Here is a 12,576-nt window from a genome sequence, read left to right on the forward strand (position 1 = left end):
GTGATGGAGCATGCCTGTAATACCAGCTACTCGGGAGGCTGAGGCAAGAGAATCGCTTGAATCCAGGAGGCAGAGGTTGCAGTGAGCCGAGATCGTGCCATTGAACTCCGGCCTGGGCAACAAAAGCAAAACTCCATCTCAAAAAATAAAAATAAAAAAAAGAAAAAAGAAAATCACAAGTATTCACCAAGATATGGAGAAAATTGCAACTCTCGCACATTGCTGGTGGAAAGGTAAAATGGTACAACCACTGTGGAAGACAGTTTGGCTGTTCCTCAACAAGCTAAACATAGAATTACTATGTGATCCAACACTTCCAGTCCTAGGTGTATGCCCCAAATAATTGAAGACAGGTATTCAAATAAAAACCTGTACAGAAATACTCATAGCAACACTATTCTCAACAGCTAAAACATGGAAACAATACAAATGTCCATCAACCGATGAACGAATAAACAAAATGTGGTCTGTCCATATGATGAAGTATCACTCAGTCATAAAAAGAAATGACACCTGATAGGTGCTACAACATGAACCTTGAAAACATTATGTTCAGTAAAAGAAGCCAGATACAAAAAGACATGTATTCTATAATTCCATTCCCATGAAATATCCAAAATAAACAATCTATAGAAATCGAAGGCAGGGCCATGCACAGTGGCTCACACCTGTAATCCCAGCACTTTGGGAGGCCGAGGCAGGCAGATCACAAGCTCAGGAGATCAAGACCATCCTGGCCAACATGGTGAAACCCCGTCTCTACTAAAAATACAAAAAAATTAGCAGGGCATGGTGGCGCGTGCCTGTAATTTCAGCTACTCAGGAGGCTGAGGCGGGAGAATGGCTTGAAACAAGGAGGCAGAGGTTGCAGTGAGCTGGGATCACGCCACTGCACTCCAGCCTGGCCACAGAGCGAGACTCCATCTCAAAAAATAAATAAATTAATTAATTAATTAAAAAGGCAGGAGTGGAAGCACATGCCTGTAGACCCAGCTACTTGGTAGGCTGAGGTGGAAGAAACACTTGAGCCCAGGAGGCTGAGGCTGCAGTGAGCCATGATGGGGCCTCTACACTCACCCTGGGAGACACAGTCTCAAAAATAAATAAATAGATAAATAATTTAAAGTAAAAACAAAAATATTCTTAAGTAAATAGTTGATGATTGTTTTATGATTGGTGGCCCCATTCATATAACTTAAGTTACTCTGGAGTTGGCCGGGCACGGTGGCTCACACCTGTAATCCCAGCACTTTGGGAGGCTGAGGCGGTGGATCATCTGAAGTCAGGAGATTGAGACCATCTTGCCAACATGGTGAAACCCCGTCTCTACTAAAATACAAAAAATTAGCCAGGCATAGTGGCATGCGCCTGTAGTCCCAGCTCATCGGAGGCTGAGGCAGGGGAATTACTTGAACCCAGGAGGCAGAGGTTGCAGTGAGCCGAGATCATGCCACTGCACTCCAGCCTGGCAACATGAGACTCCATCTCAAAAAAAAAAAAAAAAAAAAAAAATTACCCTGGAGTCATCGGGCCCAGATTTCAGGCTCTTCTCTTTTATTTATTTATTTATTTTTCTTTTGAGATAGGGTCTCACTCTGTTGCCCAGGCTAGAGTGCAGTGGTGCAATCATGGCTAACTACAGCCTCCACCTCCCCAGGCTCAGGTGATCCTCCCACCTCAGCCTGGCACAGGCCACCACGGCCAGCTAATTTTTTGTAGTTCTTCACAGACACAGGGTGTTGTCATGTTGCCCAGGACGGTCTCAAACTTCTGGGCTCAAGTGATCCACCCATCTCGGCCTCCTAAAATGCTAGGATTACAGGCTTGAGTCACCGCACCTGGCCATCTCTTCTCTTTTTCTTACCATGTGTGTGACCTTAGACAAGTCACTGCATCTCACTAAGTCTCAGTGCCTTTGGGAGTAATGCAGGTGACCTGGGGAAAGTAACTTCCTCTTTAAGGATCACTTTACTTAACCAACAAATGTGGGGCTTAGCCAATGGACAAAAGATTTGACCAGGCACTTCACCAAAATACATACCCAAATGGCCAACAGGCAGACACAGTCAACACCATGACTCATGAGGAAATGAAAATTAAAACCACAGTGCAGGCCAGGTGTGGTGGTCCATGCCTGTAATCCCAGCACTTTGGGAGGCTGAGGCGGGTGGATCACGATGTCAGGAGATTGAGACCATCCTGGCCAACATGGTAAAACCCCGTCTCTACTAATAATACAAAAAAAAAAAAAAAAGAATTAGCTGGGTGCGGAGTTGCATGCCTGTATTCCCAACTACTTGGGAGGCTGAGGCAGGAGAATCACTTGAACCCAGGAGGCAGAGGTTGCAGTGAGCTGAGATTGTGCCACTACACTCCAGCCTGGGTGACAGAGCAAGACTTCATCTCAAAAAAAAAAAAAAAACAAAAAAAAACTGTTTGGCAATATGTACTATGGCTACACATCTGCATAACCAGTAGTCCCACTTTCAGATTTTTCTTTTTTCTTTTTTTTTTTTTTTTTTTGAGACGGAGTCTCGCTCTTGTCCCCAGGCTGGAATGCAATGGAATGATCTCAGCTCACTGCAATGTCTGCCTCCAGGGTTCAAGCAATTCTCCTGCCTCAGCCTCCTGAGTAGCTGGGATTACAGGTGCCTGCCACCACGCCCAGCTAATTTTTATATTCTTAGTAGAGACTGGGTTTCACCATGTTGGCCAGGCTTGAACTCTTAACCTCATATGATCCGCCCACCTCAGCCTCCCAAGGTGCTGGGATTACAGGCGTGAGCCACCAAGCCCGGCCTAGATATTTTACCAAAGGTTTATTTACTAAAAGACATGCTCAAGAATGTTTAGTCATAGTAGCCCCAAAATGGAAAGAACTCAGTTACCTATCAAAAGACAAACAAGTTGTGGCATTCATAGTACCGTAAAATACCAACAGTAATAGGAATGAAAAATCTACAACTATGCAAAACAATATGGATGAAACTCATAGTGTTGAGCAAAATAATCCAGACACGAGAGATCACACCATATGATTCTGTTTTTATAATTACAGGAAAAAAGGAGACACAACTTCTCTCAGCTGTTTGAAGTCAGAGTCATGGTTGCTCCTGGGGAGGGTAATTATCAGAAGGGACACCGGGGTGCTGGCCAAGTTCTGTTTCTTGTTTTTCGTTTTTGTTTTTGAGACAGGGTCTCCCTCTGTTGCCCAGGCTATAGTGCAGTGGTAGGATCATGGCTCCCTACAGCCTGGACCTCCTGGGCTCAAGCAATCCTCCTACCTCAGCTCCCCAAGTAGCTGGGACTATAGGCATGTGTGCACCACCACACCTGACTAATTTTTATATTTTTAGTAGAGATGGGGTTTTGCCATGTTGCCAGGCTGGTCTCAAACTCCTGAGTTCAAGTGACCTGCCCGCCTCATCCCAAAGTGATGACATGACAGGCATAAGCCACAGCATCTGGCCTTTCTCCATTTTTCTTTCACTGAATCTGTGTCTGCCCAATTCCCCTAAGAGTCAGGTGTTTCAACTGACCACATGATGGAATTACGCTTCCAGATGTATCAAAGACTTCATTTACTTTACCAATAAATGTGGGAATTAGCTAGTGGCAGAGGCACTTCATCAAAATAGATCACCCAAATGGCTAACAGGTATATAGAATTGTAGTATCTTAACCAAAAAGAGTATTCCAAACAGCATTTATTGAAAAAATTTTTGTGTTACCCTACTCATAATTCTAAAATCTAGTTAAATCAGTTCTTAGGAGTTATTTCTGAGGCAGACATGGTTGCTCATGTCTATAATCTCAGCACATTGGGAAGCCGAGGTGGGAGGATTGCTTGAGCCTGGGAGTTTGAGAACAGACTGGGCAACATAGTGAGACCCCATCTTAAAAAAAGACAATTAGCCAGGCACAGTGGCTCACGGCTGTAATCCCAGCACTTTGGGAGGCCGAGGCTGGTGGATCACCCGAGGTCAGGAGTTTGAGACCAGCCTGGCCAACATGATAAAACCCTGTCTCTACTAAAAATACAAAAAATTAGCTGGGCGTGGTGGTGGGCATCTGTAATCCCAGCTACTCGGGAGGCTGAGGCAGGAGAATCGCTTGAACCCAGGAGGTGAATGTTGCAGCGAGCAGAGATTGCACCATTGCAATCCAGCCTGGGCAATAAGAACGAAACTCCGTCTCGACAAAAAAAAAAAATGAGCCCGTTGTAGTGGCGCACACCTGTAGTCCCAGCTACTTGGGAGGCTGAGGTGGGAGGATCGCTTGAGCTCAGGATGTCAAGGCTGCAGTGAGCCATGATTGTGCCACTGCACTCCAGCCTGGGTGACAGAGCGAGACCCTGTCTCTAAAAGTAAAAGAAATAATTGATGAGTAATTGGATATTTACAGAGTTTTACACTCTGTCCCCACAAGGTACTTAATACAAAGGGAAAGAAGACCAAGACGACCAACAGAGGCTGAGGAACTGTCCTGGGCTAAGGAAGCCTAAATAGGACTGCAATGCAACACATCAGAGGTTTTCCTTTTGTTGTAAAGGAGAACAAATGAAATCTGGATTAGGTCTCTAGATTAAGTAATGGTGCCATACCAGTGTGGGGTTCTTGATTTTTATAATTACTCTGTGGTTATAAAAGAGAAAGTCATTGTGCTTTAGGAAAAACACACTAAATATTTATGGGTAAAGAGACATCATGTCTGCAACTTCCTCTCAAACAGTTCAGAAAACAATGTACAATATGCAGGCATGGGAGGGGAGAAGGGAGTGAACATACTAAGACCAAAGCAGTAAAATGCTAGCACTTGGAAAATCTGGGTAAAAAGTAAAAGGAAATTTATTTTATTTATTTATTTATTTATTTTTGAGATGGAGTCTCACTCTGTTGCCCAGGCTGGAGTCCAGTGGCGCGATCTCGGCTCACTGTAACCTCTGCCTCCTGGGTTCCAGCGATTCTCCTGCCTCAGTCTCCCAAGTAGCTAGGACTACAGGTGCGCACCACCATGCCCGGCAAATTTTTGTATTTTTTAGTAGAGATGGGGTTTCACCATGTTGGCCAGGCTGGTCTCAAACACCTGACCTAGTGATCCACCCATCTCGGCCTCCCAGAGACCTAGGATTACAGGCGTGAGCCACCACGCCTGGCCAATAAAAGGAAATTTTTAGTACTATTGTTACAACTTTTCTTTTCTTTTCTTTTCTTTTTTGAGGCAGAGTCTTGCCCTGTCGCCCAGGCTGGAGTGCAGTGGCACAATCTCGGCTCACTGCAACCTCTGCCTCCCAGGTTCAAGCGATTCTCCTGCCCCAGCCTCCCGAGTAGCTAGGATTACAGACGCGCGCCTCCATGCCCAGCTAGTTCTCTCATTTTTAGTAGAGACGGGGTTTTACCATGTTGGTCAGTCTGGTCTCGAACTGTTGACCTCGTGATCCACCCACCTCGGCCTCCCAAAGTGCTGGGATTACAGGCGTGACAACTTTTCTTAAGTCTAAAATTATGCCAAAATAAAAGTTAAAAGAAAAAAAATAACATACCTATGACAGTACTTTCCTGATTTTTCTTGCATTCCCTGTTGGTGAGATCCACATGACTCAGTGGTTCATCTTGCGGCCCTCATAGCACCTGACACAGCAACACTAGCCACTCAGTAAATATGTCAACTGCATCTGCAAAACACATATTACATGTATGCAGAAAAATGTATATTGAGAAAATATAAAAGCAACTAATTTTCACAAAAGGTTTCAAGCAGAAAAGGGGGGAGACAGATTAATTTAAAACGTACCTTTTCCTCTCTCCAGGGGCTACAGGTAAAGGATGGTAATTGTTTGCACCACACTTAGATTCCCTTTCAAAAGTGTAATCAGGCCCGGCGTGGCACGGTGGCTCACGCCTGTAATCCCAACACTTTGGAAGCCCTGGTGGATCACTTGAGGTCGGGAGTTCAGGACCAGCCTGACCAACATGGTGAACCCCCGTCTCTACTAAAAATACAAAAATTAGCCAGGCATGGTGGCGCACGCCTGTAGTCCCAGCTACTCAGGAGGCTGAGGCAGAAGAATTGTTTGAACCTAGGAGGTGGAGGTTGCAGTGAACTGAGATCATGCCACTGCACTCCAGCCTGGGTGACAGAGTGAGACTGTGTCCTTCAATAACAAAAACCACAGATCTGTCCAAAGAAAGGAGAATGCTTTAAGAGTGAGAATCTTGGCTTATGCCTGTAATCCCATTACTTGGGAGGCTGAGGCTACTGGATTGCTTGAGCTCAGGGGTTTGAAACCAGCCTGGGCAACATAGCGAGATCTCATATCTACAAAAAAAAAAGAAATTAAAAAATTTAAAAATTAGCCAGGTGTGGTGGCAGGACCTTGTAGTGCCAGCTACTTTGGAGGCTAAAATGGCAGAATTGCTTGAGGTTAAGCCCAGACTAGGCAACCAGACCCTGTCTCTACAAAAAAAAAAAAAATTAGCCAAACATAGCAGCATGTGCCTGTGGTCCCAGCTACTCAGAAGGCTGAGGTGGGAGGCTCATTTGAGCCTGGGAGGTTGAGGCTTCAGTGAGCCTTGATTGCGCCACTGTACTCCAGCCTGAGTGACAGAGCAAGACCCTGTCTCAAAGAAAAAAAGTTATTACTATAAAGATAAGCATACTAAATTAATTTCTGCCCATAAATTGGATTGTGGTTCTCTCAATATAAGAAACGCTCTCTAGTCACTCCTATAAATACAGCTCCTCGGCTATGTGGTTTCAAACAGGGATCTAAAATGGTAATATTTAACATCAGAAATCTATGACCAGCAGATGGCCAAAGTCTGAAAAGTTACCTACCAGGCTGTTTTGGGGTATTAAGAACTTGTAAGGTTAAGGCTAAGAGTTAATGTCCTAGAAATCTAATAGGTTGGTGTTGATATAATTAGCAGCCACTAATTCAGATTCTGTGAAGATGTTTTGCTTCTGCAAGAAAATGGCCTGAAATGTGTGTCTGTATATCCTGCGTGCAAATGTAGCCACTCTGGGTATATCTAGCTTGGGTCTGAAATGGCTGAAGAAAGGAGTGTTAGTGTAGAAATATTCCCTATTTAGGGATTATTGGGAGAAGGAGAGATACATACATACTTTATAATTACCTTCTGATAATTATAAACTTATTATTTGAAAGCATTGCTAATAGAGAACAAGGAATAATGAGACAAGAAATAAAAATAAATTTACTACAAAAAGAATTTATTAGACAAACACACCAATAGATTGAGTCTAAGGATTTGGTTGGAAAGCCACTGGGCCTTTTAAAGCAGCAGAAGTCCAAAGTCACACGCTTCAAGCATTACTCTGCAATGATCTGTGGAAACCAGAAGGGTCAGGAATTACAGCACCGTGCTGGGCCACGAACAGATCAGCCTCCCACCTCTCTCCCTATTCCCTCTCTTCTACTGAAGTCCATGATTCTGGTACCTGAGAAGACTGGAATGAAATGTTTCCCATTTATTACAGAATTCAGCTTCTTTGTTACAGAGGAATTGTCACATTTGAATTGTCTGTTTAATATGGGATATTGCTTTTGAGAAACCAACAAATAGTTATTAAAGGAGTGTTTACCGAAGTGTAAGGTGAATATTATCTAGTAGAGTAACTGCATTTTTAATCTCATCTGGCACCAACTGTCTTTTAGAAAGTTACAATGTGTTGTTTGGGGGACATTCTTCTTTAGAAGGAAAAGAGTCTAATTAGTGGATATTAAGTAATTAAATAATACATACTATCAAATATTATGAGAGTCACATGAACCATGAAGTCTTCACTTAATTTAGGAGAAATGGGGAATATTTTCTATCATTCCTGATAACAGAACTAGATATTTCAAGATCATAGTCATGGAATGTAATCCATAATACCAAACAGGGTGCTTTACTTTGAAGCCATTGACCATTAAATTTGATTGTTAGTAGCACAGGCTACCAAAAAATAGCAAGGAATATGGTATCCACACAGATCTCGGCTGGCCTCAAGTAATCAAAAGTGAGAATGAAACATACATGACACAACTGGGGACCTCTGGGTTTCTGAGACGTGGGCTACAAGATTATATTAGGTAGAAAACTAAAGGAAATGTATTCCAAGCAAAAGTGGCAAGGGAATTTCACAGAACTAATTTTTTAAGGGAGGTAATAAAAGCAGCAGTTAAAATGCATGTCCATGTATCAGATTCCTGGAGGTGAATCCATTAGGAATATGACGGCTCTTCACACCCAAGTATTGCTTTCATGGGCCCTTACAATCTCTGCTTGTTCACCACCATAAAGAGTCTGTTTGTAACAAGAATTGTTTTCAAGTCAGAATCCTAGACGAAGATCTAAAAATGTTGAGTTTGTGCTTTTAAAAAACAGTCCAGTCCAACTGTCCACATGTAGTGTGTGCTGATGGAGCTAGCTCTTCCCCATCCTGGCTCACTATTGGGAGCCCAGGAATCCCTGGGACAGGCAGATAAGCCAGGACTGAAGTTTTAAAGTATCAACTACTGCAAATCAAAGTAGGCAGCCTCATGCATAGACTTCATGATATTAGTTGAGCCATCGCTGCCTTCATTATCATTTTTATGCCTTTGGGGTCACTGTGTGGTTTGGTCCAGGCTGTTCTCAAAACCTGCAGTGCAACAGACCCGTGTCTACTTTAGCAGGTGAGTCTAGCTGCAAATCAGTCACCTTTCCTACCACAAACTTCTGGCCTACTCCAAAAACCAAGGTACCCCCTCTCTCAGGAATAGCCTGGGGAGGTTATTTGGAACAAGTATTGTGTTCCAGTCCGAATCTTAAGTAAAGATCTAGAAATGTGGAGTTTTATGCATTTTAAAAATAGTCCGTTTCAGAGCGGCCGTCTGTGCTCCAGGACCAAGCTCTCCCCAGCCTCGTTCAGGATTTGGAAGAACTCTCTGGGTTTGGGCTGAACCATCGAGCACGAGGAGGGGAAGCTGTCAGTTGTGAACAGAGACTGTTTCTCACCCTCTGATGAGCCAGCACCTTTAAAGGTTCCATCCTAGCCGCCAGCAGCTGGCAGCCAGGGCGTCTCTGCTCCCTGTATTTCCCTCCTGGCATCTTGGTTAGCCCCGCGCCGAACACCCAGACCCTCAAAAACTAGCCCCTGAACTGAATTAAACCTGACCCAAAGTGAACAGCAAGGTCCAGAAACGGCAAGGCTTGAGGTCAGCCTCCGTCCCCGGACACTTTGAAGGACGGCAGATCCCTGACCCCTTGGTGGCCCGCGAGGATCGCGGGTGCGCGCGGCGGGCAGGGGTGCGCTGACACCCGCGCACCTGCACCCCCGGTGGAGGAGCCGAGGGCACACGACGATGCCAATCCCTCGTGAATCCCGCGAAAGAGGGGCCAGGGGGCTCCGGATTCATAGACGCGGGGCGTAGAAGGGGGTCAGGTAGGAAGGCCCAAGGAACGGCGCGAAAGGGCTCCCGGGGGCGGCAGCCGTCAGCGGGAAGGAGGCGGCGGACGGGAAGAGGACATTGGCCGCGGAGTAGGAGGGGAAAGTCTGGAAGTGCAGAGCGCCGGTGCCGGGAGGGCCAGGACTGCCCCCCGAGCCGCCGCCGCCGCCGCCCCCCGCCGCCCCTGGCTGGGGCGCGCCACCCCCCACCTGCGCCGCGCCGTCGGCACCCGGGTTCTGCTTCTTCCACTTGGTCCTGCGATTCTGGAACCAGATTTTGACCTGCGTCTCGGTGAGGCTGAGAGACAGCGCGAGGTTCAGGCGCTCGCACACTGACAGGTAGCGCGTGGCCCGGAACTTGTTCTCCAAGGCCACCAGCTGCTCGTAGGTGAAGGCGGTGCGCGCGCGCCGCGGCTTGGCGCAGTTGGGCTCCAGGCGCCGGCGCCTGGGACGCGGGGAGCCGGGGGATCCCGGGGGGGACCTCACAGGGCCGCCCCCGCCGTCCTCGCAGGGCTCCCCAGACGCCAATGCCCCGGCCGGGGCGTCAGGTGAGCGCGCTAGGCCCGGCAGCAAGCGCGCAGCCCGCTCCCGCAGCCGCGGCCTCCTCGGATCCTCCGCATCCTCCTCCTCTTCCGCCTCGGAACCCTCCAGGGGGGACGCCTGGCCGGCGCCTGGGCCCGCAGCATCTAGGGGAGAAGGGGTCGGTGAACAGAAGCCTCTCCAGGTCCCCAAACCTCGTCCTCGTCCTCCCTAGAGCAAGCAGCTGTCCCCCCAACCCAACTCTGGGTGCTGCTCCTGTCCCCACATCGCGCTCCCCTTAGGCCGGACTACACATCCTCGCCAGCGGGTTTAGGGGAATGGTGTCCTCTTGCCCTTTACAAATCTGCCATCAAGTAGGCGTCCAAGAAATGTACGCCAAATGAATGAATGACACCCCGCATTAAGAAAAAATAGTGACATTATTGGGTAACCATACTGGGGGGTAGGATCATTGTATTAAGACATCTAGATGTCAAACGCTTTTAGGGCTGTGCCTTCCCCAGACCCTAGAAGCCTATTTTGATCTAGGACTCCCAGCAATTAAAAAAGAAGTTATTAAGCTCTCTGCCCCACCCCACCCCCGCCCCCGCTTTAAAGTGAAATTCCCTTTCCCATCTTCTCTCTCCCGCCGTGTTAATAGAGTTTCAGATTTGTGCGGGGCCGGATCGATAGATGTCATCTATTAAAGGTAAGTTTTAATCGAACAATATTAGGATCAGACAGGGAAAGGGGGTTTGAAGTCGGTACCTGCAAGCTGCGGGCAGGAGATATGCAGGCGCCAGTAATAGAATATCGATCACGAGGGTGGGGGAAGGGAGGGCGGCCCCTCGGAGAGAAGATCCGAACAATTACCAGGCCGCCTGCCTGGGCCCAAGTGCGGCCGCCAGAGGCGCCCCGGGCCCCAGGCAATCACCGCCAAACTTGGGGAGGGGAGCAGGGGGCTGCGCGGCATCCAGCCTCCCCCGATGACCTGAGCCTCTGACCCTCCAGGGAGCCGCCTTTCCCTGTCTGATCCCAGCAGGACTCCTGCTGTCTTCCGTCCTTCCTTCCAGCCACAAACTTTCCTAACCCCTTCATCAGGTGTCCGCCAGCGTTGGGAGTAATTCAGAAAGGGTTTCGAGAAGAAAGTACCGAAAGCTTCCCAACACTCCATCCGAGCCCCGCCCCCAGCCCAGTCCCAGTTAACAGTTGAGTCTGGGGAGCTTGAGCGCCTGGGGCAGCCCAGCCCCGCAGGCGTCTCCGGGTGGCACCTGACCTCGCTACTCACGAAGACCCCCGGCGCAAGCCTTAGCGTCAGCTCCCCCATCCATAAAATGGAGGTGATGTTAATGATGCTGTCCATCTCTCAGGTTCCGAAGTTTTCATCACCTTTATCCCAGCCCTTAGCCCAGGTCCTAGCACGTGGCAAGCGCATTAAATGCCCGATAAATGAGTAAGCCTGGCAAGACAGGCGCCAGGTAAGTTTCCACCGCGAGCATCAGAACTGTGGTGCGGGTGAGCTTGGCGGGTGAGCAGGGATGCGGCAAATCCCTGCCCTGTAATGCGGGGAGCCTCCTCTCTGCCTCTATCCAAGTCCGAGGCGGGGGCTACACTTCGCACCCGGTCCCGTGCGCCTTCTCTCTGAGGAAGACGCTGTTAAGGGCCACTCACCGGGCCCGGCTGTTCCCCCATACACTCCGCATTGTTGGGGCTGAGGCCTCCTGGGGCCGGGGCCGCCTTGCATCTTACCAGGGGTCTCCAGCTGTCGGACAGGGTCCCTGGAGCTGGCATCTTTCCCCGCTTCGACCTCCGCCAAACTTTTCCTGGCTTCCCGGGGAGCCGGGCGCACGGCAGGGAGCGCTGCGCGGGTGAATTTCTGTGGGTCCAGGATGTCCAGGACAGAGAAAGAAATCTTGTGGTGGGAGGGAGCCGCCTTGGCCCCGCCGTCCTGCCATGCCAGCATGCCCGTCGCCCACGGGCCGGCGGTCGGCGGCGCGGGGTTGGGGATGGCGCCGCTCGGGCTTGCCTTCGGCTGTGGCTTGGCGGTAGCTTTCCAGCCAGGAGCCGGGTCCGCGCTGCCAAGTGAAGCTGGGGAGGGGGGCGGGGAGGCGGGGCGGGGAGAGCGCCGCGGGGGGCTGCGCGCCGATTGGCACCGGCGCAGCCCGGGCCAGCCTCGGGACTATCAGGCGCTGTGCCGCGGCCGCTTGCCTGGGCTCGGGGAAGCCTCCGCGCGCCCGGTGCGCGCGACCGCGGGGACAGTGTTGTCGTCTCCGCGCGCCTCCGCCCAACCCTCTGGGACTCTCCGAGGGCGCGAGGGAGGCTTCCATCCCGGGGATCCCTCACCCCGACACACACACCTCTGTGACTTGAGTTTGTTCCCTTTCTCCGGTGCACCCGCCTTAGACTTGGGGATGCAACTGAGGCCAGGACTGCTTACTCCCAGGCAATGCTCAGCGCATCTCCTTCCCCGCCAGTGAATTACTGTAATAGCTTCAGACCCGGTTACCTCGGAGGTAAAATCCCTCACGTTCTCACAGTTTAGCGTTCACAAAGCCCTGAGGCTTGCACGATCTCTTTTGATTATTTGAGCATCCCTGTGAGATGGGCGTCACGTGGCACAGA

The 12,576-nt window shown here is 49.2% G+C and overlaps 1 protein-coding gene and 1 pseudogene across 1 annotated transcript, besides 1 other annotated feature; both read right to left on the reverse strand.

Annotated features, from left to right (window-relative positions):
- Window positions 5,758–6,217, reverse strand: OATP1 (ornithine aminotransferase pseudogene 1; annotated as a pseudogene).
- On the reverse strand, window positions 7,217–12,009 carry NKX1-2 (NK1 homeobox 2). The gene is made up of 2 exons (NM_001146340.3): window positions 11,704–12,009; window positions 7,217–10,121 (listed from the first exon to the last, which is right to left on the reverse strand). The coding sequence occupies exons 1-2, from the start codon at window positions 11,915–11,917 to the stop codon at window positions 9,403–9,405; spliced, it is 933 nt and encodes a 310-aa protein (NP_001139812.1). The 5' UTR covers window positions 11,918–12,009; the 3' UTR covers window positions 7,217–9,402.
- Window positions 8,694–9,561: an enhancer, noted in NCBI's record as "H3K27ac-H3K4me1 hESC enhancer chr10:126135289-126136156 (GRCh37/hg19 assembly coordinates)". NCBI's record gives its function as "activates a minimal SCP1, AML or CMV promoter by ChIP-STARR-seq in primed H9 embryonic stem cells {active_cell/tissue: H9 hESC(primed)}" and the evidence as "EXISTENCE:reporter gene assay evidence [ECO:0000049][PMID:30033119]".
- Window positions 12,010–12,576: the final 567 nt, after the last annotated feature.

Source organism: Homo sapiens, chromosome 10, assembly GCF_000001405.40.
Source record: "Homo sapiens chromosome 10, GRCh38.p14 Primary Assembly".
Taxonomy (NCBI): Eukaryota; Metazoa; Chordata; class Mammalia; order Primates; family Hominidae; genus Homo; species Homo sapiens.

Excerpts from the sequence above, each read along its gene's own strand:
- NKX1-2 (NM_001146340.3), bottom strand. The coding sequence starts at position 11,917 with ATGCTGGCATGGCAGGACGGCGGGGCCAAGGCGGCTCCCTCCCACCAC. Across the intron at positions 10,122-11,703 it reads CCGACAGCTGGAGACCCCTG|ATGCTGCGGGCCCAGGCGCC; the intron begins GTAAGATGCAAG and ends CTTCTCCCCTAG.